Genomic DNA, 16,615 nt, shown 5'->3' on the forward strand with positions numbered 1-16,615 from the left:
AAAACGAACATGGCTATGTTTCAAAAATGTTTATTTAGAAATATAAATGATTGATTGGATTTGGCCCATAAGCCAAAGTTTACAGATACTGGCTTGCAGGAATGTATATTAATTTGCTTGCAATAAAGAAGACAGATATGAGTATTGTCCCTGGGTTGAATTTCCCAGTCAGTGGACAGGTTGGGTAAGAAGACATGGTGGTTGAAAATACAGGAAAAATAGTGTTTGAAGTCCTAAACCATTTTGGATAAACTATCCTGGGAATGATAGGTAGTTAAATCAGGAAGCTAATGAACAGAGAGAAATCAGAGAAATCAAAAGGCAAAGAGCACGAATAATATTTGTGGTATGGTTACTGAGTAGAAGAAAAGGAAGAAAAAATAACTGGCTGAAATGTAATATACTGAGACCAGGTTATAGCAATTTTCAACAAATGTAAAGGATAAAATATTTTGGGGGCAATGTAGAAAAAAAGAAACCAAGTGATATAGTTTTTAGAGAAAAGATTGTGAGAAAATTTAAATATTGTTGGCAGAAAATAATAACAGGATACATAGATGATTGAGTGATAGATGGCCAATGTATGATTGCAAAGTAAAAATAATTAGACAGGGATTTCTAAAAAAAAATCAAACATAGAATTACCATAAGATCCAGCAACTCCACTTATAGGCATACATTGCCCTCCAAAAAAACATGAAAGCAAGAACTGTACAGAGTCCCTGTACAGATAAGTGTACACTCATGTTCATAGCATTATTCACAAATGCCAAAACAGGAAAATAACCCGTGTCCATTAATGGATTAATAAACAAAAAGTTTGACTTTACCTTTACCATAAACAAAAATTAACTTAAAATGAATTAAAGATGTAAACATGAGAGCGAAAACTGTGAAACTCTTAGAAGAAAAAAAAGGAGAAAACCTGCGTGACATTGGACTTGGCAATTATTTCTTGCATATGACACCAAAAACAGACCAAAAAAAAAACCCAGATAAAATGAAACTCATCAAAATTGAAAACTGTTCACCAAAGGACACAATCAATAGAGTGAAAACATAATGTACAGAATGTGAGAAAATATTTGCAAATCATTTCTCTCATGAGGGGTTAATATCCAAAATATGTATGGATGCCTTACAACTCAAAAACAAAAACGAAATTAAATCACTTGATTTAAAAAGTGAGCAAAAGGCTTGAATAGACATTTTCCTAGAAAGACACATAAATGGCCAGCAAGCTTACAAAAAGGTATTCAACAAATTATTCATTAAAGAAACGTAAATCATGACCGGGTGCGGTTGCTCACTCCTGTAACCTCAGCACTTTGGGAGGCCGAGGCGGGCAGATCACGAGGTCAGAAGATCGAGACCATCCTGGCTAACACAGTGAAACCCCGTTTCTACGAAAAATACAAAAAAATTAGCCAGGCTTGGTGGCGGCTGCCTGTAGTCCCAGCTACTCAGGAGGCTGAGGCAGGAGAATGGCGTGAACCCGGGAGGCGGAGCTTGCAGTGAGCCATGATGGCGCCACTTCACTCCAGCCTGGGCAACACAGCGAGACTCCATCTCAAAACAAAACAAAACAAAATGCAAATCCAAAATACAATGAGCTATAACATCACACCAATTAGAATTCTATGAGGATGACCACTATTTTTCAAGGGGAGTGAAATAATAAGTGTTGTCTAGGACGTGAAGAAATTGGAATCCTTGGAGTCATTGTACACGCCTATTAGAATGTAAAATGATGAAGCTGCTATGGAAAAGACTATGGTGGTTTCTCTAAAAATTAAAAATAGAACTACCATTTGATCCAGCAATTTCACTTCCGGTCATACAGTATTTCCAAAAAGATTGAAAGTAGGTTTCAAAGAGGTAGTTGTACACCCACAGTTATAGTAGCATTATTCACAACAGCCAGAGGATGAAAGCAATCAATGGAAGTGGGTCAATGGATAAACAAAATGTGGTATATGCATACAATGGTATATTATTCAGCCTTAGATAGAAGAACATTCTGACATACGCTACAGCGTGGAAGAATCTTGATGACACTACTCCAAGTGAAATATCCATTCACAAAAGAATAAATACTGTATGATTACAATTATATAACCTACCAAGAATAGTTCACATTCATAAAGACAAAGTACAATGGTTGCAGCTAGGATAGGTGGGGGGAAGAAAATGATAAATTAATATTTAATAGGTATAGAGTTTCAGTTGAGTAAGATGAAAAAGTTCTGAAGATGAGGCGTGATGATAGCCACACAACAATGTAAAGGTACTTATACCACAGAATATTTTGATTATTGAGTAATAGACTCTGGAGTCAGGATATCATGGTTTGAATCAAAATTTCATTGCTTACAAATTGGTGAGCCTAGACAAATTAAATAGTCTCATTAAGACAGGAACAATTTTAGATGTTAATTATAATGATGGTTATATGAACCTGTAGTTGTGATGAAATGTCATCACAAGTATATTAAAAAAATTAAAAATATGAGTAATTGCAAAAAAACTCAGTTACTGCATTTTAAAGTAAGAACAATATTAAAACTTAAATCATGACAGTATTGTTAGATATAATGAGATAATATCTATGAAGTATATAGCCTAAGTTGTGGCACACAGAAAATCATCATCAAAATTTAATGATTAGTGTAATACTACTAATATTTCAAGTTTTAAGGTCAGTGATGAGTAAGATTATAATAAATACTAACATAATTAGAGAATGCAAGAGGGGAAAAATGAATGTTATAAAAGATGGTCACAATAATGTGTATATTCACTTTAAGCAGCCGAGAAGGGTGTAGAAATGTTTAACAGGAAATTGAGAATTGACGACCACCTTGTGAGGGAAAGTTCCTGACAAGAGACATTAATTTGGCAATTGGTGCAGTAAAATGTTTTCATTTCCTACAAAGCTAGGTTATGCAGCTGGAAGAAATAGATTATGACTTTAACTCAACTCTGCTACCATTGTGACCTTGGGCATGTTACTTAAAGTCTCAGTGAGAAAGACAACACTTACTTCATAGCATTGTTCTGAAGTTTGTTTATATAATTAACTATAATAATGTTAATCATTAAATAATTGATAGAATTTGTATAAACTCAACATATAGAAGATACCCAGGCATTGTAGCTGTAACAAAAATAGTCATTATCATTAAAGTCAGGTGACATAGATATTACACCTAATCACCCAATAATAAAAGCAACCATAGCAACAAACAAATGAGTAACACCACCAATAAGATCTATTGTTTTTAAAGCAAGGAGCACTCACAAAGTAACTATGCGTCAGCCTCGCCTTAAATGTTTCACATGAATTTCCTCCTTTAATCTTCCCAAAACTTCTGAGAGATCCCTCTGCTCCCAACCCCCTACCATTATTATAGATAGTGACTATATAAATAGTGAACATAAATAAATACAAATATAAACAAACTGACTAAATAAAGAGAGGAGAAATGTGGCATTACATTGGAGAACACCTTTTTGTTGATTGAAAAGAAAAGTGAGAGGAGCAAAAAACAAAACAAAACAAAACGAAAAAATCAAGGAAGAAACAACCAGAGTGCCAAAGGAGGAATGGAGAAGTACAATTTTATGGAAGCCGAAGCAAGAGAGAGTTAAAAATATACAAATCATATGACTTTTCTTTGCTGGATAATCAAATTATAAGATTATTTTATAGTGATATTTTAAAATGTTTTCCTTTCATGTAGATGCCGAGCATTTGAATTATTGAGTGACTTGTACCTTGTGACAGCACTTTAATGGACCTTCTACACACATCAAAATTGAATCTAAATTTCCCTCACTAACCTTTCACTGAAAAAAGCTAGAGTTAATCTTAAAATGACTCTATTGAGTAGGGAGTGAGTGGATTTTGCACAGCATACAGTATGTCTGAAAGCATAGAAATGAAATCACAAGTGAATAGTTTACCCAAAAGCCTACTTGTTGATTATATCAAGCGGGCTTGAAAAAAATAAAAAATATGTAATTAATCTTGGCTAAATCGATCAAACCATCAAAAACACAATACTGTACTGAGATGCCATTCTATGTGAAATCAGAAAATTTTATGCGCAATAATTCATCTAAATATTTAATATTACATTCAGTGTGCCTTAGCATCAAATATTTGTCTTAGGAATTAAATATAAACTAGAATTTATCTCAAATAAGCAGCCATTTCCAATCGGATCTCAGGTCTGCATGACTGAATACATATAGAATGTTCCGAGGATCGCTATTCCCAAAATGACTTTTACTACTACTCAAAAAATATTTCTAACCAATGGGTTAAGTGTTGAAGTAATACTTGACAATAATGGCTGGGAAATATGTGAATATAATATAAATATTAATGAGAGATATTTTTCTCCCAGAATCCTAGAACCTCTGTTTTTATATTAAAGTACATAAAATGGCAATGCAGCTGAAAATTTAATAGAGGTTATAGACATTGGTCCCCGAATTGCATTTTAGGCAACATTAGTTCTATAAAATATTAACAGATGTTTCATTTAAAAAATAGTTTCTGGGACAAATGTATTTAGAAATACTGAAGCAAACATTCTTAGAGATATTTAGGCCTTTTAAGAAAGCACTGTGAATTTTCAAGAGAGAATCACATAGTTGAAGCCTTTCTCATTTTATGCGTAGGATCACAGTCCCTGTGCAAGTACAGTCCCCTGTGCATGTACTGCAGAGAAGTGGCTCAGAAATGAACTCTGGAGCCACACTGACTGGGGAGAAATCCCATCTCTGCCATTGTTCAGTTGTGTGACTTTGTACAAATTGCTCAACCTCTCTGTGTCTCAATAGCCCATCTGTAGTTAAGAAAAACACACACACACACACAAATGAAACAAACAAAACTACCACATGTGGTTCTAATTAAGACTAAAAAAATAGTATTTTGAGGCTTTAAAGTAGTGTTTGGCACATAGGAAGTCCCCATCAATTGTTGGCTGTTGTCACTGACTCCTCAGATAATCTCTGTTGAGCAGGCTTCCAAAGGTGAATGCCAGTTTAGGACATTTCATTACCATCCTAGTCTACATTTTCAACAATATTAGCTCAGTGTTTGTTATTCCTTATGCCGCCCATTCTGAGACCTTGATTAGGTATTTATTGACTGACAGTGGAGGTAAATCTTTAAGGTATAAGGGAACAATTTTATCCAAACAAGATCCTAAATCCCAGCAAAAAAAAAAAAAAAAAAAAAAAAAAAAGATTACGTTTTAGAAGAATAAGAGCCAGTAAGAAATCTCTTCTCAGGTCACTGATAACATGTACATAAATCATGGAGATTCTGGCAGTTAAGGGAATGGGAACATGAGACTGTGAAAGATCCCTTTTTTTTTTTTTTGAGGCAGAGTCTCGCGCTGTTGCCCAGGCTAAAGTGCAGTGACGCAATCTCGGCTAACTGCAACCTCTGTCTCCTGGGTTCAAGTGATTCTCCTGTTTCAGCCTCCCAAGCAGCTGGGACTACAGGCGCGTGCTACCACACGCGGCAATTTTTGTTTTGTATTTTTAGTACAGACGGGGTTTCACCGTGTTAGCAAGGATGGTCTCTATCTCCTGACCTCGTGATCTGCCCGCCTTGGCCTCCCAAAGTGCTGGGATTACAAGTGTGAGCCACCGCGCCTGGCTGAAAGATTCTTTAGAATCACACAGGCCAACTCTATTGCCACATTTAATCAACATACTAACCTGGTAATAATTTAAAAAAGTAACAATAAAAAAAATTTGGGGGGCGGGGAGCATGTTGTAGTGGAAAGATAATGTAGAATTCTGAATCAGCCACTTAATTATGAAACGATCATGGAAAAGCTGTTTAATTTCTTTGAATTCTAACTTGCAGTTTCAGGCTGTTGTGAGAATGCTACTTGACATTTCTCGTTTACACACAGTCAGCATTCTGTGGGCTGTGTACTGGTGTGTTGTATCGCCACAGGCTTACTTTTCAAAAACAGAGCATCTCTAGAAATTGACTTCTTTGCCTTAGTTATTTTATCTAAATGACGTCCTTGAAAATTACTGCTAGCAGAGTACAGAGAAGATAGCATATTCTTAATTGTTTATTTCATTATTCTATATGATGAACTGGGAATTAAAGAACATGTTCTTGGCAAAATTCTCTAACTCCAACAAAAACTGGAAATGAAAAGAAAGATGAAGTACAAAGTATATTTTATAATAGTTCTGTGTCTCTTTTTAAAATTTTATTTAAATAGAAAAGGGAAATTTTATTTTATAAACATAATCAATAAGGAAATGTGTTTCTGTGTAATGAAGAGTTAATATAGGAATTCAAAGATGAAAAAAATCAGTAAGTGAATCAGTAAGGAAAAAGAAGAGAGGAAAAGAGAAAATGCAAATGCCATTAAAAAATGAAAGTAAGTGTGAGAGGGAAAGAGAGTAAAAAGGGGAAGAGAAAGATGGAAGGCATAAATATGCAGGAAGATGAACAGAAAGAAGGGGAAGAAATTACACAGAGAAGGATAAGAAAATGAAAGTAGAGAGAAAATTAGCAAGTACATAAAACATCAGGACATTTGCTGCTCTATGAAAGTCTCATTAAACAATTAATCCTGAAGCCTTGGGTCTCAGGTCAAGTTAGTATAAATAAATTTCTTCAACTAAATTACAGCCAAGATTATTCTCCTACAATTCATGGAACAAATACAGGGAAGGGCTCAAACTGCCCTGAAAAGGAATTTCTTGAGCTCAGTTCTTGATACATTATTGTGTTCATTAACATTTCAATGTTTGAACTGATTACATTGGCATTATTTATTTTAAATGTATATAAAGTGCTAGTTAACCTTAGCTTCAGGTTTTATTTCTACAAAACAACTGGAAACTAAGATAAAACCTCACAATGAACTTTAGGCTGTGATGGACTCCTGTGCAATAGAAACATTTACATTATATAATAGAATTTTTGGTACATATGGCATTGGTTTTCTAAAGCTAAAATGTTTCAATCTCTGGATTAAAATGTTGAAACATTTCCCACCTTAATAGCTTTTGTCTTCTTATACTTAGCATAATATCTCATATCCTGCTGCCAAAAAGATGTGTAGGTTTGAGCCAAATATATACTCTATACTTTATCCACTTTATAAGATAGGCCTTTATTAATTCTCCATGATGAGATAGTATGTTCCTAACACTGTAGAATGTCTCAGTGCAAAAAGAAGATATAGTCCTGATTTTTGTGGGTTTATAATGCATATAACTAGCATCTAAGTGCATAGATGCCAACTATACATCTATAGGATCATACAATTCTGATTGAATTTTATATTTTAAATTTAAAGACTGCTGTTGCAGATACTCATTGCCATCATGCAATATGTTAAAATAGCATCTTAAAAATTATTTGTCTGAAGAAGTTTTAGACTGTATCTAATAGCTTATATTTTAAAAATCTTTATATTAAAATTCAAGGTTAACAAGTCCGTATCATTTCTAAGCTCTTAAATATATTTTTTAAATTTAAATTCAAATGTATTACTGTATAGAATTTATTAAATGATCACACATATTATGGTATTATAAACACTGGATACTATAAATAGAATGGTATAAACAGCATATTGTTTACAATATTATGTGATAAATGATAATTTCAGCTGATATGTATTTTCAAATATCTGGAAAATAGTGTGTTGCCTCTTTTCATTGATGAGATATATCCACTTGGAGAGAGAGAGAGACAATATTTAATTAAGAAAATATTTGTATCCTAAAAATGAAAATAGCCATTTCAATTATATATTATTCTATGTATAGCAAAATATTTGTCTAGAATCTTCACTCTGCAAATACAGACAGCCTTAATTTTCTTCTCACTTTAAAAATGTCATAATCCTGGTAATTTGAGTTTGCCAAAGATAGATCTATTTATTACCTATTTCATCCTAATTTAAGTGACCCTTTATTCAGCTACCCACATAAGTTAAGTCAGTAGTTATACAATCAGTACTATTAAAAAATAATTTCCTGGCCAGGAGTCATTTTATAGTTTACACATTACTAAAAGGTAGATACAGTATATTCAGCGAATAATTTAGCATAATCCTTAGTAATATATTTTCTATATGTATAATAGTTTTAAAATATTACTAAATTTCATTATTTATTGACTTTGCTACAATTACCTAATATGCTATTGAAGGATAGTTTGTTAAATGTATTAATTTGAATAAGGATAAGTAAGTCAAATGAAAGTCTTCTCTCCCTTTGCCTCACCAAAATTTAAAAATAAAAAAATACAGTGTCTTGAAAGCAGATGCTTTACCTGAAGCAGCAGCTTGTATGGAACACACAGTTAACTACACAGAACATTAGAAAATTGGCATCAGTCCTGTGGGCTAGAGTAATGTGAATTATTTTCTTATACATGAATCCACTGGAGTGCAGAGCTAAATCAGGCAGATGAACTTTCAGGGTGGGCTCTGACTCTGGACCCTGGCAAATAAACTGAGGTAATACCATACCACGTGGCTGTCACTCACTTCTACACAGGTGCACATATTAGTTAATGTGCAGGTGAAGATGGGTACTTATTTGAAATGTTTCATATTTGGGTTTTATAGAATGTGTAATTTTATGAAGTACTATGTAGTTAATTACATATTTATTTCTTCATTGGGTGAAAAACAATTTTAAATATGTCACTGATGTTAATGTTTAAAATTTAATTTTCATAGTTTTATATCTTCGTGTATAAAAATTCATGTGGCTGTTGAAGTAGTCATCTGGTATTCCCTACCACACGATGTAACATTTATACATAATCATATAGAGACTTCTTTAAAACTTATTTTGTGACTTATAAATTTGCTAGTACAACCTAAAATTGGTATCATTCGCCTTACTTGGTTCCACTTTACAAAGGGGTAAAAGCTTGAGGAACTCTTTCTGAGAAATTAAATGTGAATAACACATAAAAAATTTTCGGCCCAGACTAAAAGACATCAGATGAAAATACAATTTTAGAAATTAAAAAGGCAAACAAAGTGAAAATGAATCATCCTTTCCAAACAGGACAGAGAGAGATAAAGCCTGGGACAAGAGTCAAAGGGCAATAACTGGTCTCCAGATTTCAAGGGACCCTAAACTATTCCTTGAGCTACAGTTATGAAAGGCTGATGAAAAGGGAGAATTGCTAGCAACAATATTGTCCAATGTTATTTGTGATTTCTTATATTTTATGTAATTAATCTGTGTCTATCTCCCTCCTTTTCTTCCCCTCAGAGGGCCTTTTAGAGTGCTGAACACTCTAAATACATTTTGACTGACTTTTCATAGAGTTGAACAAAAAAATAATTTTAATTATCAAATCAAGTAAGCAAATTGACATATCACATATATACTAACAATGATTAAGTTTAAAGCTTCTAACTATCCAGGATGATGCTACAACTTTGTGGCTATCCAAATATGATTAGTCATGTAAGAAGACAGGCCAAAATTATAATGATATTTTATTAGTGGAGAACTCATGGCTGAAACATGCGTGTGTCATTGTTATAACCAAGAGTTCACAAGTCAAACACATGCAACAAGTTGAATAATTAAGTTAAAGGCCTAGATCATAACAAGGAAGATAAGATACATTCAGGGTCAGTGATGAAGTTGGAAAATGTGGAAGATGAAGTATAAAACCAAGAACAAATTTGTTATCCAAAAGCTAATTAGAAAAGTCAATCTCAAGGAACAGCTCAAGGGTGTTCTTTCAAAATTCTCAATATACTGGTGGAGAGGCTGCACGAAAGTTAAAATGTGTTGTTCAGTTACAGAAAAATAAATTAATGGCTCCTCAGGGTAAATAAAAAAGAAAAATCACTCTGTATTCTCATGGTTTGTATTCTCATTTTTGCCAAACTACCCTCAGCAATTCTTAGCAGTTTTATTTTTTCTTGAGTATTTAATACTATTTTTACAGCACAATTTTTAAGTTTTACAGAGATTTCAATTTTGATAGTCATATAGTATACCTGAGAATTTATTTTGAAGTCATGTACATGTGCGTGTGCCTGTGTGCACACATGTGTGTATTTTCAGATTAAAATATGTGGGATCATAAGCATTCTTTAGTTATTGCAATTCTCTCAAACAATTGGATATTAATTTGTATTGTAAATCTTAGAGTAATATTTATATAGAAGTACTGGGAAGGGAAGAGCGTGGTCCCTTTAAATGATACTGGAGTTGGGAGGGAAAGGGAAGTGCTGAGTAAGGAGGGCGTAGTCCCTGGCTCGGGGTCCACCCCCACGGACCTAAGTGAGGACAGGCATGTCTTGCGCAAATGTAGCATTTCCCTAGACCACCCTGGCCTGCCATGCCCCCATCCTGTGCCTATAAAAACCTGAAACTCCAGCAAGGCAGAGACAGAGGCAGCTGGATGTGGAGAGGAGCACATCAGCGGAGGAACACACAGGCAGCTGGACATCAAGAAGAATGCAACGACAGGCACCAGCACACCCGCAGGCCACCCCACCAGTAGAAGCAGTAGATACGGAGTTTGGCTGGAACAGTCAGAGGAGAGCCCAGGCCGCTGAGCAGCCCGACTCCAGAGGAAAACCATCTTCCTTCCGGCTCCCCCACCTGCTGAGAGCTACTTCCACTCAATAAAACCTTGCACTCATTCTCCAAGCCCACATGTGATCCGATTATTTCCAGACATCAAGGCAAGAACCCGGGGATAAAGAAAGTCCTCTGTCCTTGAGACAAGGTAGAGGTTCTAATTCAGCTGGTCAACACAAGCCGCCTATGGACTGTAAAACTAAAAGAGCACCCTGTAACACATGCCCAGTGGGGCTTTGGGAGCTGTGAACATCCACCTCTAGACATCACCATCGGGTGGGAGCCCCACAGCCTACCTGTCTATATGCTCCCCTAGAGGTTTGAGCAGTGGGGCATTGTAGAAGTGAGCCACACCCCCATTGCACGCACTGCGATGGGGACAAGGGAGCTTTTCCCGTTTCAATAATACTTTTGATTACTATTCAAGGAACGATTCCTTTTCTTTTAAGAGTTTTCTATAACTTAATGTATTTTGAACTACTGGGAAACTTCCATACTGAAAAAAACCTCTTCTCAGTAATTATAACAACCTTCACAGTATGATTTCTGTATCTACAGATAGGTGTCTTTTAAAAGTGTTTTTGCATTTTATTTTTCTGAATGTATTTGGTTTACTAGATAAATTGTGACTTTTTTAAATGCTGCAATTTTATTTTCCTTTTAAAACCATCTTAAGTAATAACTTAAGCCTCACTCTCTTGAGGCTTAATAAATGCTTAATTTCTGATAGTAAGTAAAAGAAAATTCATAAGCTGAAATAAATAAAATGATTAAAAGTAGTGCTAATTAAACATTCTAAATATTGATGCCTATGGCATATATACATTAATTTGCTTAATGTAATAAAATATACTATTAACCTTACTTTTCTACTATTTTAATATATGAAGTTATATGTTTATCTAATAATAACTAAGTTGAAAATATTTTTGGTGAAATAAATTTGTTTGTTTTTCATGATCAGAACTTAAAGTCTTTAATTTTTCAGTATTCATGGAAAACTAAAAATGTCTACTGAAAATAAGCAATAGTTTTTTTTGTAAAATAACTGACTCAACAAACAGAAGGCAAATTTGTTCACTGAGTTGGTTCTTCCTATTTTGTACAGTAATAGTCAAAACACTTCCCTGACATTTTATGTCATGTAACTTACATAAATAAAGCAGAGAGCTTAGCATTCTTAAAATTATTCTTCAGTTTCCAGTTTTCATCCTCTAACTGTCTCTCTGTGGATTTAAAACATTACCAAAATGCAGGGTCTGCATTTTGAAATAGACATAGAGTGTGACCTTTTTCACAGAAGTGCATCAATCTGATATACTATAACTAATTTTCAAGCTATTGCATCATATGGTTCTTTAGTTTAATGAAGAAAATTTGGGGCTAGAAAAAAAATCCACCTCAAAATTCATGAATGAAACCTAAAATCAGCTGATTATTTAAAAATAATCTCCTTTGCAAGCTCCTTTGAAATTTAAGCATAAATAGCATATTCTAATAAAACTGGGGTAAAAAATATATGATTAACTCATCTTTAGTAATAGTAATTCCAAGGAAAATTTTGTTCACATCTTCTGCATCAAGTATTTTTATTCAAAATATTATGCCTGTATCAAAAACTGTTATTTTGGGTTTTGCCACAACATAATGAGAAAAAGTAAAAAAAAATTAAGTTTTTTTTAACTTTTTCAGTAATTTTCTCTAAAATATATTGAAGACTCTTTTTAGTTTCTTTAAACTTTTACTTTATTATGCAAAGTTTTTACGTGGAAAACATTTGTCCAATGATGTTTTCCAAAATTTGTTTGCAATATAACAGAAGTGTAACCCATTCACAAAAATTCACCAGAATTTTATTTTTGCGTTGTCTACTATTTCAAGAAATAGCAATTGATAGAAATATTTTCTAATTGAAATAAAAATAAGCTCGAATGTATTATTGGAAGATAAAGATTACAGGAAGTCATGTGTTCCATATTTTCCACTTATATTCAAGTTAAATACAAATGGAAACAATGAGGGGAGAAAAATGTAAGAATTCAAAAATACCATTAAGAACTTCCAGGGAATTCCTGAATTCAAATAGGCATATATTAAGGATTAATTCCAATAGAGAGACACTCTAATATTACATGTATGTGAACACACACATATATACACATATACTAATTTTAATTGAAAAATATGTCATTGAAACATATAATGAATATCTGCTCACCAAACCCATTTCTTTTTCTTCCTAGATCAATGTGAATGTGTATTTGTCAATGTTTCTTATAGTAGGGTACGGTCAAATCACAGATATTTAGCACATGGAAAATTAGCAGTAGTGATGCGTGAAAATTGAAGGCCTGGACCATGAGAGCCTTCCAGAGGTGATTCTCAATGCTCATTTCCTTCACGGACTTGGCACAGATGAGCAGGGGAGACTTTAAAGTCATGTATTGAGAACAAAGGAGCCAGAAGATGGAAGGAATCTGAGTCCCTATATTACTACTTGAGAACCACCAGCTCTACAGAAATATGTTTTGGTTTTCATATGAGCATTAAAAAGATGTCAATGATAATCTGAGCCATAAAAATGATTTTGTATGTTTGTTACAACACTTAGTATTCTTTAATACGATATTTCAAAAATTCTTAATCAGATTTCAAAGATTGGTTGTCCAAAAAAAAAAAAAACCACCAAACTCTTTACAAATAAAAAATGTATATATTTGTACATTTTTTAAGATAGTATTTAATTAAAAACAAGTTTTCTTTGTTTGTTTGTTTGTTTTGACACAGAGTCTCATTCTGTCACCCAGGCTAGAGTGCAGTGGTGCAATCATGGCTCATTACAGCCTTGAACTCCTTAGCTCAGGTGATCCTCCCACCTTAGCCTCCCGAGTAGCTGGGACTGCAGGCACAGCACACCATGTCTGGCTAATTTTTGTATTTTTTGTAGACAAGGGGTTTCACCATGTGACCCAGACTGGTCTTGAATTCCTGGGATCAAGCAATCTGCCTGTCTCAACCTCCCAAATTGCCACGATGACCAGTGTGAACCACTGCACATGGCCAGAAACAGGTTTTCTTGAAGGACAACGACAAGTTACATGGAGAAGATTCCATACTAAGTTCTTATTTGATTAAAAAAAAGTTCTTTATTATTATTTTTTAAATTTCCATAGGTTTTTGCGGGACACATGGTGTTTTGTTACATGAATAAGTTCTTTAGTGAGATTTTGGTGCACCCATCACCCAAGCAGTATACACTGTAACTAATTTGTAGTCTTTTATCCCTCACCCTCCTCCCACACTTACCCCCAAATCCCTGAAGTCCATTGTATTATTCTTATGCCTTTGCATCCTCATAGCTTAGCTCCCACTTATGAGTGAGAACATATGATATTTGGTTTTTATTCCTGAGTTACTTCAATTAGAATAATGGTCTCCAATTCCATCCAGGTCACTTCAAATGCCATTATTTCATTTTTTTCATGGCTGCATGGTATTCCATGGTGTGTGTGTATATATATATATGAATACCACAATTTCTTTACCCACTTGTTGATTGATGAGCATTTGAGCTGGTTTCATATTTTTGCAATTGCAAATTGTGCTGCTATAAACATGTGAGTGCAACTATCTTTTTCATACAATGACTTCTTTTCTTCTGGGTAGGTACCCAGCAGTGAAGGATTGCTGGATCAAATGGTAGTTCTGCTTTCAGTTATCTAAGGACTCTCCACACTGTTTTTCATAGTGGTTGTACTAGTTTACATTCCCACCAGCAATGTAAAAGTGTTCCTTTTTCACCAGATCCCTGCCAACATCTACTATTTTTTTTTTCATTATGGCCATTCTTGCAGGAGTAAGGTGGTATTGCATTATGGTTTTGATTTACATTTTCCTGATCATTAGTGATGTTGAGCATTTTTTCATGTCACAGGATCCTTAGGGGTGTTGCTTTTCCAGCCAGAAACCTCTGTGGATGGTGGTGCCTTTGCCTGAGTTTTGCACAGGCCTATTGGGCTTGTTCCGCCCACACAGCCTGGTAGGCTGCACTTGGCTCACACTACCAGCTCAGATTCCATGCCTGCCAAGGATGAGCCAGGTGCAGAGTGATGAGAGGTGTGTGAGTGAGCATGGGGTCTGGCCACTGTGCACAGCCAGGTGTGCTAGCTGCAGCAGGGCAGGCAGCTCCAGGCACTGGTGCAGGCACTGGCTAAATGTGAGGCTGCAGCTAGACCAAGTATACTGCAAACAGCTTCCACTGTGGGCACCAGAGAATGCAGTGACTCCTAAAATCTTAGAGATACCATGAACTGCAGAGCTGCAAAGAGGGTGTCACAGCCCTGGCCCAGCCCTAGGTCTGGGCTCCCCAAAGGGCCATGGCTCTTCTCTACTTATCTTCTCTCATTGTCACCCACAGTATGGTGAGCGGGGGGGCATGTTTCAGCCCTGTTTGTATTACTGCTCTTTCAGGCCCGCATTCAGCATGTCCTGAGTTCTTGTCTCACGTCCAGGAAGAATGAGGTACATGGACAACTAGAGGGTGAATAAGGCAGAGAAGTTTCACTGAATGACAGAACAGCTCTCAGGAGTCCCAAGGTGGTTAGCTCCTTTCTGCAGGCAGGTTGTCCTAATGAGTGTCCAGCTCTCAGCAGAAAGGAGACCTGTAGTGGGTAGCTCTGTACCACAGGCAGGCTATCCTGATGAGTGTCCACCTCTCAGCAGAGAAGAGACCTACTGCTGGTAGCTCCTTTCCACAGCTGGTTGTCCTGACATCTGAGTCTGGGGTTTTTATGGTCTCAGAAGGGAGGAAGTGCATGCTGACTGATTTATGGCTGGCCATTGGCAGGTATGAAAAAAAGCACCATAAGTTCTTACCTTGGATCACTGACTCCACCCAGAAATGGCAGGCCAGCCCCCAGGCTTTAGGCCGTCCCTCGCTTGAAGGTCCTGTTTCACCAGGGACCCACCCATTTTCACCCAAGAGCTTGATGGCTTCCTGGCAACATCAACATGCCATCCACAGAGCCCAAGCTGTTCATCCCAAGGGGCGTCTGCAGGCTGTCACCAAGGTGCTCTCAGAGCCCCCTGGCCTCCCTCCCTCGTCAATGCCAAAAGTTTCAGAGGGGACTGAGACAGCAGTGGGGCTGGCATGTCAGCACAGCCCCGAGTTCATGTACACTCAACCAGGTTACAACAACAGCCAGGCTTAGCCGCAACTTTGCTCCACACCAGAGCAGGTGCTGGCAATGGGGAGACACCAGATCTTGGGAGCAGGGACTTCTGAGCCTGAAGGGGAAGGGGCTTTGCAGGCCTGCAAGAGTGCAGGGATGTCCAAGTCTGGATCCATGGCTGTGTGGCTGCAACTGTGCTGAGGATCATGGGGTTCCTGCCCTGCAAACTTGGTAGGGGCAGGGCTACCACAGGCATCACAGAGCATGAAACTTCAGCTGTGACTCCACTGCTGCAGCTGCTGTCTTCACATCAGCTGCTCCAGATGGGCCACCACTGCCATCAATATGTTTGTTGGCCATTTGTATATCTTATTGTGAGAATTCATGTCCTTAGCCCACTTTCTGATGGGATTGTTTGTGTTTTCTTGCTAATTTGTTTGAATTCCTTGTAGATTCTGGATACTAGTCCTTTGTCAGATATATAGATTACAAAGATTTTTTCCCACTCTATGGGTTGTCTGTTTACTCTGCTAATTGTTTCTTTTGCTGGGCAGAAGGTTTTTATTTTAATTAAGTCCCATCTATTTATCTTTGTTTTGTTGCATTAGCTTTTGGGTTCTTGGTCATGAAGTCTTTGCCTAAGCCAATGTCTAGAAGGGGTTTTCTAATGTTATTGCATAGAATTTTTATGGTTTCAGGTTTTAGATTTAAGTTCTGGATCCATCTTGAGTTGATTTTTATGTAAGGTGACAGATGAGGATCCAGTTTCATTCTTCTACATGTAGCTTGCCAATTATCCCAGCACCGTTTGTTGA

At 36.0% G+C, this 16,615-nt stretch overlaps 1 protein-coding gene across 4 annotated transcripts in view, besides 1 other annotated feature; it reads right to left on the reverse strand.

The window, feature by feature from the left end:
- Positions 1-16,615, reverse strand: part of FSTL5 (follistatin like 5) — a 780,104-nt gene that overhangs the window by 423,750 nt on the left and 339,739 nt on the right. The window lies entirely within an intron of this gene.
- Positions 14,297-14,798: an enhancer, noted in NCBI's record as "H3K4me1 hESC enhancer chr4:162743095-162743596 (GRCh37/hg19 assembly coordinates)". NCBI's record gives its function as "activates a minimal SCP1, AML or CMV promoter by ChIP-STARR-seq in primed H9 embryonic stem cells {active_cell/tissue: H9 hESC(primed)}" and the evidence as "EXISTENCE:reporter gene assay evidence [ECO:0000049][PMID:30033119]".

Source organism: Homo sapiens, chromosome 4 (assembly GCF_000001405.40).
Source record: "Homo sapiens chromosome 4, GRCh38.p14 Primary Assembly".
In the NCBI taxonomy this organism is placed as follows: domain Eukaryota; kingdom Metazoa; phylum Chordata; class Mammalia; order Primates; family Hominidae; genus Homo; species Homo sapiens.